Raw genomic sequence first — 16,652 nt, 5'->3', positions numbered from 1 at the left:
ATAAGAAATGCTATCTATCAAAATGGATTAGCTCTCAAGTACTTGCTAGCAGCTAAAAGAGAAGTCTATAAGAAATTTAACCTTACTAATTACTGTCTACACATAGATAATCAAAGGCAAGTAGTTAAAGACATAGTTAAAAATATGACAAAACTGACACATGTGCCTGTACAAGTGTAGCACAGATTCAACCCTAAAGCCATGTTTAGAAGGTGGTTCCCAGCACTAAGAGGACTTAAAACTCTTATAATAGGAGTTATAATAGTAATAAAAACCTGCTTACTGCTCCCTTGTTTGCTACCTGTGCTTCTTTAAATGATAAAAAATCTTCATCGCTACCTTAGTTCACCAAAATGCTTCAGCACAAGTGTACTATATGAATCACTATCAATCTATTGAACAAAAAAAATAAGTAGCAAAAATAAGAGTGAGAACTCCCACTAAGAAAAAGTGAGAGTCTCAAAAGGGGGAAATGAGGGAAGAGAGAGACCCTCCCATATCGCTTTATATTGTTTTATACTCAGTACCTGTTTTAAGAAAAAAACAAGGAAGTAAAATCAAAGACAGGCAGCCCTGCACCAGGCCCGAAACCAGGCCTGGGCCTGCCTGGCCTAAACCCAGTAGTTAAAAATCAACTCATAACTTAGAAACCGATGTTATTCATAGATTCCAGACATTGTATAGAAGACTATTGTGAAACTCTCTGCCCTGTTCTGTTTCACTCTGACCACCGGTGCATGCAGCCCCTGCCACGTACCCCCTGCTTGCTCAAATCAATCACGACCCTTTCATGTGAAATCTTTAGTGTTGTGAGCCCTTAAAAGGGACAGAAATTGTGCATTCGGGGAGCTCGGATTTTAAGGCAGTAGCTTGTCGATGCTCCCAGCTGAATAAAGCCCTTCCTTCTACAACTTGGTGTCTGAGAAGTTTTGTCTGCGGCTCGTCCTGCTACAGCTCAACCATTCTCTTAGGACACATACTAAATACAGCAAAGGTCAGGAGAGAATTCAGCCAACTCTTGATTACTTTTAGGTTGATTATCTAGTAATGGTTTTTCTTCCACACCCCTTGGCTTCTCCTCCTACCCTCCCCTGTAGCATTTAAAACATTTAAGTGCTCATTAAGAGAGGAAATTGAAATCTGGCCATTTTGCCTCGGGCTAATGAAAGATTTTGTGCTGAGGATACTTAACTATGGAATTTTTTAAAAAACATTCTAGAGCTAGGGTTGGTTATAGGTGCAAAGCAGATTCAGAGGAGCTTGGACTCTTTGCCTGAGTCCATCCCTGTGGTGGCATTATGGTTTCAACTTGTCTCTACTTCGTCCTAAAAGAGGATTATATTTCCCTGTCTGTGACAATGTGACACGCAGCAGCCCTTGTGGGACAAGTGTATGTTCCCACCACATTGACACAGGCCTGTTCATGTGACTTGTTTAGAAATGGCACTGGAACAGACATCATGTGTACTGCAACCAAGCAGAAGCCTTAAGATCCATTGTATGTTGCCTGCAGCTCTTTTGCTCCTAATAAACCATGTTCCTTCGTCTAGATCCTGAATGGAAAGCATGTGGAACACAGCCAACCCGGGCTAAGTAGAGACACAACCAGCCTTTGTTGTTGAGCCCCCAGTGAAACTGTTGGGGTTATTTGTTACTGCAGCAAAGCTGACTTATATAACCCCTCATCTTACAGTTTCCTCTCTGATACAATTATTTTTAAACTGCCCATGATACTACTTCCCCTTGATTCATTCTCTGCTAGCATGACCTGGATAAGGGAAAAATTATGTTTTTTGTGTGATATCCACTCCTCCTGAGCTCAATTTTAATCAAAAGGATCCAATAAAATAATTAAAACTAAAGCATGTTTATCTATTTGATCATTGAATATAAAAACCTCAAGCTGTTTTTGATTATTTTCTTCCATCACTCCTGACGTTTAATGAAATGCCATCTTTATGGTTCTGCAAAATATTTCGGTTTTCCCACTTTCTAGTCTCCTGCCTTCTTTCCTCATTTAGGGATATATCATCTGTCTCTTGGATCTTTCATTTTCTTCTCCTATATTCTATTTTGTGATTTGATAGCAGAAAGGCCTTTTAAAATTTGAACTTGATCAAGACCTTTCCACTTTTGAAAAAACCCATTCATCCTCATTCTTCCCCATTGCCACTCAAAGTTGTAAGGTTAGCTGAGAGAAAGAACGAGAGAGAGAGAGAGAGAGAGAGAGAGAGAGAGACCCAAGGTCAGGCGAGTAAGTTTATTAGCCTGCTGGGCTGCTCCACCACAGTCAGCGGAGGCAGCCCTGAACTTACAAAATGAGGGGTTTATATGGTGGAGAGAGACCCTGGGGTTCTTTGTCGGTTAACTTTACCACATATCATCTCGTGACCAGCTTACAATATAGGAATTTACAAGAGGGTGTAACTTAGGTTTATCCACGTTTCTCATGACCTCCCCCATGCCACCCGGAGGGCTGTAAGCAAGTCTGGCGACCTTGCTGTAGTGCCTAGATAAGGGTCCAGGAATGCAGCTGCAGAATATTCGGAGTAAGGGTCAGCTGCATTGTTTTTGGGGAGGGGGGTGGTCCTGGGGCAGCTTGTCCCTAACAAAAGTATGGTCCATGGACAAGCAACACTGGAATTACCTGGGAGCTTTTCAAAAATGCAGAATTTCAGGCCTCATCACAGACCTACAGAATCAGAGCCTGCATTGTATAACAAGATGTCCATGTGATTTGCATGCAAGTTAAACCTTGAGAAGCACTGGCCTAGAAGATGTAAGTGAATCTGCAAATTATTGATCCCATAAAAATGCCAGACTGTCCCTAGATACTTCACACGTAATCTCTAATCATCACATTACCTCTGGAAAGTAAGTGCTGTGATCTCAGTTCTGCTTTCAAGAATCATAACCAGCTCTACCTGACTACAATCCCTCTTTTCTTTTTGTTTTGCCTGGAAATGTCTTTATTTTGCTTTTTAGCTTTTAAAATTGAGATCTACTTGCATATAGTAAAATGTACAAACCTTAAGTGTATATCTTTATGACTCTTTAGATATATACACATGAATTTTCCTAATTACCATCCAGATCCTGATCACACCGTGATGTAGTTGTGTCTGTCTTTGTCTCTCTTACCAGATTAAGAGAGAAATTTTGTTTTATTCATATTTTCCTGCCCAGCACCCATTTAATAAGAAGTCATCAATCAATGTCTATTTAATTGGACCTGTATTAGAGTACTCATCAAGGTCTGTAAATAGTTATTAAGGACTATAACTTACTTTCTCTTGCATCCTTTAACAACAAGGTAAAGTCTTGTATGCTACTAAGCACTCCACACATTATATTTGTTGCAGAGAACCCTGGAATGGGAATAAAGATAACTGGATGTTTTAGGCAAATCACAACCTCTTTGACCTTTAATTTCATCATCTATTGAAAAGAAAAAAGGCTGTGGAACGAGATAATCTCCTAGGTTCATAGCTATGTCTTCAGATGAAGTTTCCAGTCACATTGACGTTTGTTTATTGGGTGGATGATACTGAGAGGGAACCTTCACTGTTTGTTTACTGAGTGAGCTTCATTCTCTATCACTGTTGCTATAGGGAACTGGCCATTGAACCTAATCATCGCACCAGGTCATTGCAAGGACCTTTAACGTACTATTTGTGATCTGGCTTCGTCTATATCATGAAGGGAAAGAGTAGAGCATCCAGAGAGGGGAAAAGGCCAAAATCTGTATTCCTGTGTGTCCCCTGGTCCCAGTGCTCCACTTGATAAATTTTCAGAGGAATTCAATCAAGAATGAGCAGGTCCCCATTTAATAGAGCCTGGGGCACTGCTGAAAAGGTGGGCCTGCTTGAGGTGGCAACCTGAGTCTGTTGATGAACACCAGGGAGTTTCTGTGACTTGTAAGGCTTGACCCTTCACTTTGAGGATAAAGTGCTATTTCAAATATCTCTTGGAATATTTCTCTTCCTTGCCCTCTAAACCTGTCTCTACTCTTGATCTGTTTCACCTGTGTGCTTTACATATTTTGACAATCTTTTCTTGAAATAGAATTTTTTTTCTCATTTTTCTTAAATAAAGTTAATTAAAAATGGGGGAAGAAACAAAACAAGGTGTCCAGCTTTGAAAACGAGGCAGGCTTTGGCGTATTGCACAAAGACAAGGTATGCCTGACTGCCTTGCACCGCACCCAGGCCTGCTGTGTGTTAATGACTCCTCCCAGGGCTTCCAGCCCATCTGCCTTTCTCCTCAGTGCATGCAGACCTTTCACATTCCATCCTGCTTTCTTGGCCCCATGGGGGCAAGCTTTATGTTTCCCTCTTCACATTCGGACTAGTTGAATTCTCCCCACTGTCCTCTGCCCTAATCCCTCCTGGCTGAGGAAACAAAAGAACACAAAGAATTCCACAGTTTATGTATATATTTTTCATACAGTGAACTCAATCAGCCATACTTATGGGAGGGGACCATTAGAACAGATAATCCAAAAATCCATTCGCTTTTCTTTAGAAATAGATCACATGATTGTTTCTTGGAGCCTTGGTAATTAAGTTTGGCTCAAGCTAATGCTTTAGCTTTAATTAATTTGCATAAAAATTGGTCTGGGGACATCAGTCTAGAATGAAGCATTTCTAGGGGATAAACCTGAACTCACTTTGTAAATGGACTGTTTCTGAACAATAGCAACAACAATATAATTTTATTGCTTGCAGATTATTAGATGCTCAAGTTTTCTTAAGAACAAAGACTGTTTCTTTGATGCTTGTGTTGAAGAAATCATGTAAATTGTGTCTTTTTGTTAAACTTGAAAGTTGATTGCTGCTAATATTCAAAACTGTACTTTTATAAAAATTTCTAAAAATATCCCAGATTAAGAACAAAAGTTAAGCCTAGATTAGTGTGAATTTGATTATCTTCTAGACATCCTTGGTTTTCTCTTAGAGCCAATAAAACTTACTTTCCTATTGTAAGTTATTTTTAAAAATTATTTTTTGCCTTGTAGTTACAAAAGAAATGCAATTTCCTTATGGATACGCTAAAAATGCATATAAGCATTGAGAATTGTGGATAATTTTATAACTAAGGGATAGCCAGTTTTAATATTGTGAGTTGTCATATTTCTCTTGTATGTGTGTATACACACACAGATGCAGACATATGCAAAAATATGTAAATATATCCTGGGATCAAAACATATTTACACTTTGAGTCCTGCTTTTTTATTTCATATTTTAGTAAGCATCATCCTCTGTCATTACAATTAATTTGGAAATCTTGTTTTTAAAAGATACATAATATTCCACGTTATGGGTGAGCTTTCAGGTGTTTACACTTTTTTTTTGCCATTAAACATCATATTGCAATGAACATTTCAGTAAATAAATATCTCCATACTCTGGGTGGGTGTTAGTTTAGGATAAATCTCTGAGGCATAATTTTTCCATCAAAGTATGAACATTCTACCTTTTATTAGGTTTTCCCAAAATTGCTGATGAGGAGGTTATGCCTTTCAGTCTCCCACGAATATTATGCGAGCGTGTTTGGAAACCCTATTTCCACTAATTTTGTGTACTTTCAACTCCACTTAATCTTATCTAGTTCAAAAAGAGAAGATACTATTTTATTTGCATTTATTTATATAATAAAGAGATAGGGCATCTCTTCATATTTATAATGACTGTATATCTTCTTTTGTGAATTATAATGGAGTCTTTTGTCCGTTTTGCTCTTAGATTGTTTATGTTTTTTCTTACTGGTTCACACACACTTTTTTTTCAAATAAAAAAATTAGCTCTTTTGTTGTCATTTGGGTGAGAATATTTTCCCACTAGTTTTCATTTTTAATTTCACTATAACCTTTACTCATTATGTCAACATTTATCTATTACAATTTTGTTATTTTCCTCTTTTATGCAATATACTGACATATGCACACACATTACAGATATGTGTATGCCTGCATTTCATAACATATGCATACCATCCTGTGTCTGCAAGTATGTGCTCACAGTTAAAAAAACAGCCTGTAATTGTTTTATTTTGTTGTTTTTTAAAAATACTATTTTTGTAGAGTGGTTTTAGGTTTACAGCAAAATTGAGAGGATGGTACAGAGATATCCCATGTAACTCCTACTGAAGTCTATAACTTCCATTAAGGTTCACTCTTGGAACTGTACATTCTATGGGTTTTGGCAATGTATAATGAAATGTATCTACCATTACTGCATTATACAGAGTATTTTCAATGCCCTAAAGATCCTCTGTACTCCTCCTATTCATCCCTCCCCACCCCCACAACTCCTGGCCACCACTGATCTTTTCATTGTGTCCATGGTTTTGCCTTTCCAGAATGTCATATAATTGGATTCATACAATATGTAGCCTTTTCACATTGGCTTTTTGCACTTAGTAATATGCATTTAAGTTTCCTACATGTCTTTTCATGGTTTGATAGCTCATTTCTTTTTAGTGCTGAATAATAACCTTTGGTTCTTTTACTCTAGTATTTTTATAGTTTCATTTCTATGTTTCATCTCTGCTCCTTCTGGAATTTATGTTGGTGAAAGGAATGAGGTTGGGATTCAGTTTATTTTCCCAAATGGCCAACTAGTTGTTTTAATGCCATTGATTGAGTCATCTGTCTTTGAAATGTCGGCCAGAATATGTACTGAAATCCCAGATCTACTTGGGTCTGTTTCTGAACTCTTTCATCTGTTTCATTGATCAGCCTGTCTATTCCTATAGCAAGGACTACCCTGCTAAGTACATTTTTCAAACAGTCCATGTCATCCGTAGTCTATTTGTTCTGTCATTGACTAATAATATTGTATCTGGGAACTCCTCATTGCATTTTCAACAGGTTTTTATTTGTATTGTATCTTGCCATATCATCTGACACAAAAAGCCCCATCACTATTATATTTCATCAGGAATTTAAATTGTTATCAATATCAAATAACCAACTCTTTGTCACTGGAGATTTTTTTGCTAGACTTCTAACCGAATAGATTGGTTCAAATAGAAGTAGTTCTTCATGTTTTCTTTTGATGCTCCTTTCTCAAATATACATTTTTCTAACTTTATACTTTTAAAGCTTTACCTTTTTATTGAGTTTAAGTCAATCTGAGTGGCTTTTACACTTATTAAAGTAACCTAATTACACTTACTGTTATAAGCATTTGCTTGTGTTTCTGTCATCTTATTTGATACATGAGGCTTTTGTTACACTGCTAGTTATTGTTATTATTTGCATTGCTGAGTATACTGTCATGTGATCTCTTTGGGAAATTTAGAAAGTAAGGTATCTTCTTTTAATTTTATTATTATTTAATTCTATTTGTGATTATTGTACAATTTTTCAGAGATATTCTGAAAGGTAACATATTGTCAGAATCCATAACACTGGGATTTTTAGTTTTTGAGTGGTATTTATGGAGTCAGGCTAATGTGCAACTCTTCCTTCTTCTAGCTATAATCTAGTTTTACAACCTCTGCCACTGATGCTTCTTTTCTTTCCTCCTTTCTTCATTCCCTTCCTCATTTCCTCTTTTTCTTTCTTCCTCTTTTAGACAATTTTATAAAATTGCGACAAATATATAGAAACACAGACAAAATATAGAGATATCAATTAAATAACCAAATGCAAATACAGAAACTATATATTTTTATGATAACCATCCAGCCAGGCAGCCCTCTCATGGCCCCCTCCCGGCAGTATCTCCTCTCCAATCACCAAAGTTTAATCAAAACCCTGACTGTCACAGTGATCAGTACCTAGGTCTTCTTTATCATTTTATCACCTAAACAAGCCTTTCTAAATGTTAATTTTTTTCCTGCTTTTTGAACTTGATATATGAGATTATATAATAAATAATATATGCTTTCATACCTTCTCTAATATTACATTTGTGAGATTCATCATGTTTTTGCATGTCATTGTAGTTTCTAGTTTCCATTGGGACCTTTTATTTATCTTTTTTTTTTCTTTTTTGACAGAGTCTTGCTCTGTCACTCAGGCTGGAGTGCAATGGTGCTGTCTCAGCTCAGGAGGCTCATTGCAACCTCTGCCTCCTGGATTCAAGTGATTCTCCTGACTCAGCCTCCCAAGTAGCTGGGATTACAGGTGCCCACCACCGTGCCTTGCTAATTTTTGTATTTTTAGTAGAGATGGGGTTTCACCATGTTGGCCAGGCTGGTCTCGAACTCCTGACCTCAAGTGATCTGCCCAACTCAGCCTTCCAAAGTGCTGGGATTACTGGCGTAAGCCACTGTGCCTGGCCTGATTTATCTTTATCTTTGTCTTCTATATGTAACTTGTCATTTTCCTCTGCTTGTTTTTGTGATTTTTCTCTTTATTGCTGGTGTTGAATAAATTGATTATGATGTACTTAGGTGTAATTTTCATTATGTTTCTTATGCTTTGGGGTCATAGAACTTCTTGCATATGTGGGTTGATAATTTCATCACATTGAAACATTTTAATCACTTTTACTTCAAATATTTTTTCTGTCCCTTTCTCCCACATTCACCCTCAGAGATTCACATTCATTTATATTGTAATTAGAACCACCCTTCAAGATGTCTCATAGCTCATGGATGCTCTTTTTTTTTCCCCTCAGTCACTTATTCTGTTTTCATTTGGATAGCTTCTATTGCTTCATCTTCAAGTTCATTAATCTTTTCTTCTATAGTATCTAATCTGCCACTGTTCTCATCAAGTATAATTTTTAATTCAGGCACTGTGTTTTGAATTCCTTGAAATTCAATTTGGGTCTTTCTATAACTTCTTTGTCTCGAATTAACATGGTCAGTCCTAATTTTAATTTTGTAAATATGTGGAACAGAGTTATAACAACTTTTAACATGCCCTTTCATATTAATTCTATCATCTGCATCATTTATGGGTTGAGTTCCATTTATCAACTTTTCTTTTCCTGTGCATCATACTTTCCTGCTTCCTGTCAAGAACTATGAAGACTCTGAGATTTTACCCTGCTTGAGCCACAGTTCCATGGATGCTGACAGAAGACAAAGACTTCTGGGTCAAAGATAAAGGACAGTTTATTATTCAGAGAAATCACAGTAACCAGAGTATTAGTGTCTGTTCTCTGAGTCCTGATTCCCACATGGTGCCATAGGTGGACCAGCTGATTCCTGCACACTCAGTGGGTGATATCATAGAGGAGGAATCTTGAACTTAGAGAATGTATTAGTCTATTTTCATGCTGCTATGAAGAAATACCCAAGACTAGGTAATTTATAAAGAAAAAGAGGTTTAATGGACTCACAGTTCCACATGGCTAGGGAGGCCTCATAATCACAGCAGAAGGCAAGGGAGGTGCAACCGCATGTCTTACATGGTGGCAGGCAAGAGAGTGTGTGCAGGGAAACTCCCCTTTATAAAACGATCAGATCTCATGAGACTTCTTCACTATCATGAGAACAGCATGGGAACGCCCACCCCTGTGATTCAATTACCTCCTACAGGGTCCCTCCCACAACACGTGGGGATTATGGGAGCTACAATTCAAGATGAGATTTGGGTGGGGACACAGCCAAACCATATCAGAGAATCTCAAGATTCTCTGAACCTTTTAAAATGCACAATAAGTATGTATGCTCTTTAATTTGAAGAGAAACATGATCCTTTTCAAAGATACAAGCAGTGCCTCTGCTCACAAAACATGCAGAAATATGAAAGATGCATGGAGAGTTGTCTTGCAATAATTCTTTGCATGCCTGGTAATTTTGTTGATTTTACTTTGTTGGGTATGAGATATATTTATAATTTTTATAAATATTTTTGAGCTTCATTCTAAAATGCAGTTAAGTTACTCAGAAATATTCTGATCCTTTCAAGTCTCACTTTTAAGCTCTACTGGGGAGGACATGAGGAGCATTTAGTCTATTGCCTGTTTTGCTCTGCTACTAAGGCAAAAACCTTCAGAGTTCTTTATGAATGTTGAGGCTTTCCAGTCTTGCTGGTGGGAACAGGCACTTCTTCTAGCCCTATGTAAGCTCCAGTTATCACTCTCTCAGATCTTTTCTAGTGTTCCTACCCAGTTGAAGACTGAGGAGTTCCTTCTGTAGACCTCTGAGCATTCCGTTTGTGGAGCTCTCTTCTCTGTAGAATGCTACCTTGCAAACGTTAGCTACCTTGGCCTCCCAGGACTCTCACCTCTGTCTCCTCAACGTGGAGAGTTTGCTGGGCTCTCCCTGGGTTCCTCCTCTCTGTACCACAGCCTGGAAACTCTCCAGGCAGCCAGCTGGGCAATCACAGGGCTCACCTCATTTCCTGACTCTCAGGGGCCACTGAGACTTACAAAGTTTCAACACTAATTGGTACTTTTACTCTTCATCTTAATGGAAAAACATTAGAACACTTAAAATTAATTTACCTCATTCCAATAAATGCCATTATTGTGGTATATTTTAATGTTATGCATATCTTAACTCCACAAGACATCATTGTCAGTATTGATTTATACCATCAATATTTATCTAGACTTATCCAGTAACTACCATTTACCTTGCCCTTAATTCCTTCCTTTATCTTTGGCCTTCTATCTGGGATTAATAGCTTTCTACTTGCAGAACACCAGAATTCTCTGGTGATGAACTGTGCCTTTCTTTTTGGTCTAAAATGTCCTTAATTAACCTTGAATTCTTGAAACATACTTTTCCCCCTGGGTTTAGAATTCTTGGTTCACAGCTATTTTGTTGTATTATCTTCTTATTTTCATTATACATATTGAAAAGTCAGCTCTCAGTCCAAGTGCTTGAAGATAGCTTTTTAGATGTTTTGTTTATCTTTGGTTTTCAGGAATTTTACTATGATGGGTCATGTTGTGGATTTATTTATATTATTTATAATATTTATATTTATTTCTATTATTTATTTATTTACTATGATGGGCCTGGTTGTGGATTTATTTATTTATTTATATTTATTCTGCTTAGAGTTCAAAGGGCTTTTGGAACATGATGTCCTTCATCAGTGTGGGAAATTTCTCACCACATTTCTTCAACTATTGCTTCTGCCCAATTGTCTCTCTCCTTCCTTTCTGGGACTCCAACTGTACTTGTGATAGACTTTATCATAAGATCCTTAATATCTTTTCCTCTTTCTTCAGTGTGTGCCTTCCTTTCTTCCCCTACTATCTGTAATTTTGGATATATTCTGACCTAACTTCTAGTTCACAAATCTTCTTTCGGCTGTGTCTAATATGATGTTCAGTCATAAATTCATTCATTGAATTCTTAATTTCAGTTATAGCATCATTTACTTCTAGACTCTTTCATTGTAAAATTGGTTTTGAACTTCTAGTTCTCGGCTAAAATTTCCAATCTTATCTTTATCTCCTTATACATACTCAACATATTTATCTAATACTTTGTGTTCATAACTAATATTTTCAGCTCATATGAACTTCTCTTGCCTTATTGTTTTGTTTTTCATGTTACCTTTTTTCCCTCATTTTTTGGGGTATTTTTTATGTGTGTGCTGGACATTATATTTTGCAAATTATTTATATAAATGATTTGAAGCCTGTAACACTCTTTTTCACTCCTAGTAAATATTTTACATTTGCTTTTCTTAGATGCCTGAGGGGACTAGCAATCTGGACTGGTCTTAACCTAATGTGAGGATTGAGATGATTTGAAGCTGGGAAGCAGTCCACCGCCAATCTACTGCTCGTTCATTCTTCCTGCTAGGTTACGTATCTTTGGGGTTTCAACCCCAAAACAGAGAGTTTATCGGGGTCATTGCCTTTTTCAGCAATGGAGCTCCAGACACCTTCTGTAGAATCAGCAAATGCCCTAAGGTAAAAAGAGCTTCAAATTCTGGGCTCACATATCTGGAGATTCATTGCCTCCCAGAGCTCAGCTTTACAGTTCTTCAGTATCTTATTAGCTCACTGATGCCTTTAAACAGTCTCTCTCTCTCTCTCCATATGTATATGTGTGTATATATATATATATATATATATATATATATATATATATATACGCATAATATATAATATTATATGTTTATAATATATAAATATATGTATTTTTTGTCTAGTTGTCTTCGGTAGTAGAAATGATCTAAATTATTTAGACTTTCATTATTGAAAGCTAGTCTGTCTTTTTTCTCATTTTCAAACAACACATACTATAAATTTCAAAGTTAAAGACATATATTTAGGTAAGACATTTTCATCCTAATTATGAAGGGTTATTTCAAAATTATTTGATAGAACAATTATTTCAACATTTTTGTACATTTAATTAGTCTCTTACCATATAGTCCCTTTCGAATGTGCCTTCCTCAGTCTTGAGTTTTGCCTTCCTTTCTATATTATTGTTTTTGCTCAGGCCTTCTGTTAGTTTATTCAGAAAGGGTACCTGGGTGGCATGTTTTCTTAATCTTTGTATTCCTGAGAAAATATTGCTCTGATTTCATGTATAAATAATAACTTCATTAACTATGGAAACTGTGCCCTTTTGAGCTCTGGAAACTGTGACTCCATTTTCTTCTAGCTTTTAGGGTTGTGGAAGAAGAAGGTTAAGGCTAATCTGACTCTGGTGGTTTTAATCACTACCTGATTTTGACTACACTTGAAAAGCCTTTCTTTATCATTTATCTTCAGAAATTCCATGAAGCTATGCAGATGTCTGTTCTGAGTTTTTCCTTTGCCTATAAATATAATGTGTACTGTCATGTTTTGGGTGGAAGAACTGGTTTACATTAGGAAATTATTTTCTGTTATTTTTCTAAAGATTGTTTCATTTCTGTTTGTTATGTACTCCCTTCTTGATATCCCAAGACTATGTGGATTTAATCCCCTGCATTTATTCTCCATGTTTTTCAATGAAAATATTTATTCTCATTGTTATAACACATTCATCTCAGTGTTTGCAAACCCAGTGCTTATAGAATTCAGACAAGTAACAATAAACAAAATAAATGAAGCCAGCCTGGCACAAAAGTAATGAGTGATGAGGATTCTGGAAAGCAAAAGTGTCATCTAAAGATGGCAGCTACTGATCAACTGGTATTCAGTGCTAATAAAGTGTTATTGGAATTCAATATTTTTCCAGAAAAATTCAAGTCTGTGGGTTTTTTTTTTTTTTTTTTTTCTGTTTCCCAGCAGAAGAAAAGAAAATCTAATAAAGGATTTCACAACCTACCATCGGGATGATCTTGGTCACGCACAGAATGATCTGTCACTTCACCGCCTTTTGTAATATTTTCATCCTTTGCAAAATCTAACAACAAACAAGCAAAACCTTTGGTCAGCATTTTTAACTTGGAAACAGAGCAGCTTTCAGCACTAACATGATAGATTTATGTTTGAGGAAAAATAGAATTTATTCGTTTTAAAAATAACCACTCAAATACATATGTTTGCCAATAAATAGGCGCTTTTTTTCCCCCCATACTATGTGAGATATCTGCTCAAAGCTTACAAAGGTAGAGATGTAGCTAGCTGGGATGTCTTTTTGCAACAAATAAGAAAATAAAAGCAGGCTTTTTGCATCAGGGAAAGTCTTAGAACTATGGGAAAGGACATAAAAGGAAGGCAAAATGAAGAAGATTAAAGGACTATCTAATTTTAATGTTCTTAATGCTTCCATTACTGTGGTTGCTCACATATGGGAGTCTTGAGTCCTTGAAAAAGTCAGATACAGAACCTTGAAATCCAGTGGTAATTAAGTTCATCTTCCTCGGGAACCATAACAGTAGAACAATAGCATAGAGGGAATGCAGACCTTCTGGTCTCTGCAAGGTCATTCCCTCCCTCGCTTAGCACATTTAAACATGGAATCGTTGTACACTTATCTTTTTTTGTTATAGGATATGGTTAAACATATCCATGTTTAACATGGCTAAAAGGATTCTGTGACTATGGGCTATTGCAAAACTACAAAGGGCTCCTTGCTAAATGTTTAGGCCTCCCTGGAGGCTCTTTAAAAAGTACTGGAATGATCCTGTGAATGGATCAACAGGAAGACAGCAAGTAGGTCTCATTCATTTTCCAAACATTTAATAATGGCCAAGTATATGCCAGACACTTTTTTAGACAGATTCTCGCTCTGTTACCCAGGCTGGATGCAGTGCTGCAACCGTAGCTCGCTGCAACCTCAAACTCCTGGGCTCAAGCGATCCTCCTGTTCTGGCCTCTGTAGTAGCTAGGACCATAGGCACAGGCCACCATGCCCACTTAGTTTTCTAATTTTTTGTATAGGCAGGATTTTGTAATTATGCCCAAACTGGTCTTGAACTCCTGGCCTCAAAGGATCCTCCTGCCTCATACCCCCAAAGTGCTGGGATTATAGGTGTGAGCCATCACACCTGCCCAGACACTGTACTTGATGTTGGGGAGCCAACAGGAAACAAAACACCAAATCTCTGCCCTCATGGAGCTTATAGTCTAGTAGATATTTTTCATGCTGCTGAAAGGAAAGCAATCCAAAGATATCTAAAAGTCATAAGCTAATCTTGTAAGCGTGTGACCATGGAGAAAGCTGGGGGTGGTACAGCAACACCTTGATTACTTACAAATGTGTTCTCTACTGAATTTGTGTCACTTGGTTGAGTTTTAACTCCCCAACAGAGCTGAATCAGATGGAGTCTAAAATAAACTATTCTTTGTTTGTTTCCTTTTCATTTCTCCCTCTGTTTCTCTCCATTCATTTCCTCTCAAAATTAGGAGATAGCTTTAAACAATATGGCTTGGAATATTATGAGAAAGTTTGTTTCTTGAACCTGCCACAAGCAACATTTGATGGACAAGTGAGAAACCTGGGTAGTTAACATATGATTCAAATTTAATAACCAGTGAAGCAAGTATCAATATATACCCGAAGTGTGTGGTTTTAATTAACTACAAATAATTCCCCCAAGGCAAATGTTTAATTATCTGCACAGCTTCTTATTTCTTTCTGAGGCTGACAATAAGTCTAAAAGTCCAAATTTGGAAGCAAAACTGAGCACAGACACATTTGCCAAACTGTTATCTAACTTATGTCAAATTGTTTTAAACCAGCTCCCATTAAAATATGCTCTTTTAATTTTGGAGCTAAGATGTCAATTGAAAAAAAAATTTTGAATATTTTTCTCACATTAACACTAAAAATATACAATGATTTAAAAAGGTATATAGATCAGGCTAAATTTTAAATTTGAAAGTGTTTTAGATTTAGTTATTTATTAAAAATTATATTATTTGATATTTAGTCTTGTACCACATTAATTTCTCTCAACATTAATGTTATAGAATTATCCAAGATTTTATGTTTAGTTAAAATTTATTCATTTACACTGAATAATAATTCACTGTTGTTAATCATAATGTTACATAAACATTATGATTCTGCCCAAATATTACATAAGAAACGTCTCCTCAATGGTGATTTACATCGAGTTTACAAGTTTATGATCTAATGAGTCACATAAGATGGGCGAAAAGCATTTGAAAAATTACTCACCAGACTGTATCTGTTTTATCACCAAAATCTGTGTCTTTAGCAAATAAGTTATCTTTGTAATTTCAATATTCTTGGGGAGTTGCTTTAACATTATTAATGCACCTTCTGATATGTTTCTACATAATGCATTTCATTGCGTCCAAGATACCATCAGTTGTTCTTTGCACTATTATTTTATGTAGTATTAGAAGAAAATGCTGCCAGATGCACTATAACACATTATCAATTCTAAGACATGTCCTGACTTTAGAAATAAAATATATGAAAGAATGTGCATCTTAGAAACATGCCATTGCAGTATATTCGATGTGTGCACACAAATATACATGTCTTTATGTGATGACAAGGATGTCATATCAGCACGACCCACCACCAAACCCACAAGTTCACTGTCACGTATGTGAAACTTTGCTCCAGAAATGGTTCTACCTCCACACACATCAATAAAGTAGAAGGAAAAGTACTATATAACCTCATGACAATATTCACAAATAAGCAGGTACCTATGGAAGATGGTTTCCACGAAAGTTACTTTATTAATAGGGCTCTCTGAATTTCTAGTCTCATAACCTTTAGCAGGCCTAGATTTGATTCTGTATGTTTTCAATCATGGATCTCATTACATTATATTTAGTTGTAGGTTTGAAGTGGCAGTGCAGCTTTTCTGCTTAGGGGGTGATGAAAGCTGCATTGAATATGTACGTGAAATCCTTACTCATAATGATGGAGAAAGAAAATGCATATATTCATGGTCTGAATATTTGTGTCCCCCTAAAATTCCTAAGCTGAAAGTCTAACTGCTAAGGTGATGGCACTAGGGGGTGGGGCCTTAGGAAGGTGATCGGATCATAAAGGTGGAGGCTTCATGAATGAGATTAGTACCCTTATAAAAAGATTTAAAAAGGTCCCAGAGAGTCCCCTTACCCTTTCCACCAAATGAGGACACAGTTAGAAGGAACCAGAAAGTGAGTTCTCACCAGATACCGAATCTGCTGGTGCCTTGATCTTTGATTTCCCAGCCCCCAGAACTGTGAGAAATAAATTGCTTTTGCTTATAAGCCACCCAGTTAATGGTATTTTGTTGTAGGAGCCTGGACGAAGACACCAGTGTATATGGTCACTAAAATAACTTATTATTTCCATGTAAGTTCTATAAACTA

At 36.6% G+C, this 16,652-nt stretch overlaps 1 protein-coding gene and 1 long non-coding RNA gene across 9 annotated transcripts in view, besides 1 other annotated feature; one reads left to right on the top strand and one right to left on the bottom strand.

The window, feature by feature from the left end:
• The window catches only part of MACROD2 (mono-ADP ribosylhydrolase 2), a 2,057,682-nt gene that overhangs the window by 72,376 nt on the left and 1,968,654 nt on the right, over positions 1-16,652 (bottom strand). For 6 of the 8 annotated variants that reach the window (NM_001351661.2, NM_001351663.2, NM_080676.6 and 3 more), the window contains one exon: positions 13,192-13,269. In NM_001351661.2, coding sequence (NP_001338590.1) covers positions 13,192-13,269 — 78 coding nt within the window. Of the gene's footprint in view, positions 1-3,287; positions 3,369-13,191; positions 13,270-16,652 lie in introns of all 8 variants that reach the window. The other 2 variants (NM_001351664.2, XM_024451834.2) reach the window with 1 other exon arrangement.
• The window catches only part of LOC613266 (uncharacterized), a 93,550-nt gene that overhangs the window by 5,061 nt on the left and 71,837 nt on the right, over positions 1-16,652 (top strand). The window lies entirely within an intron of this gene.
• Positions 470-639: an enhancer, noted in NCBI's record as "active region_17558". NCBI's record gives its function as "activates an Ori minimal core promoter by ATAC-STARR-seq in GM12878 lymphoblastoid cells {active_cell/tissue: GM12878}" and the evidence as "EXISTENCE:reporter gene assay evidence [ECO:0000049][PMID:35858748]".

Source organism: Homo sapiens, chromosome 20 (genome assembly GCF_000001405.40).
Source record: "Homo sapiens chromosome 20, GRCh38.p14 Primary Assembly".
Taxonomy (NCBI): Eukaryota; Metazoa; Chordata; class Mammalia; order Primates; family Hominidae; genus Homo; species Homo sapiens.
The sequence above is the reverse complement of the archived record's forward strand: the minus strand, read 5'-3'. Positions and strand labels throughout refer to the sequence as shown.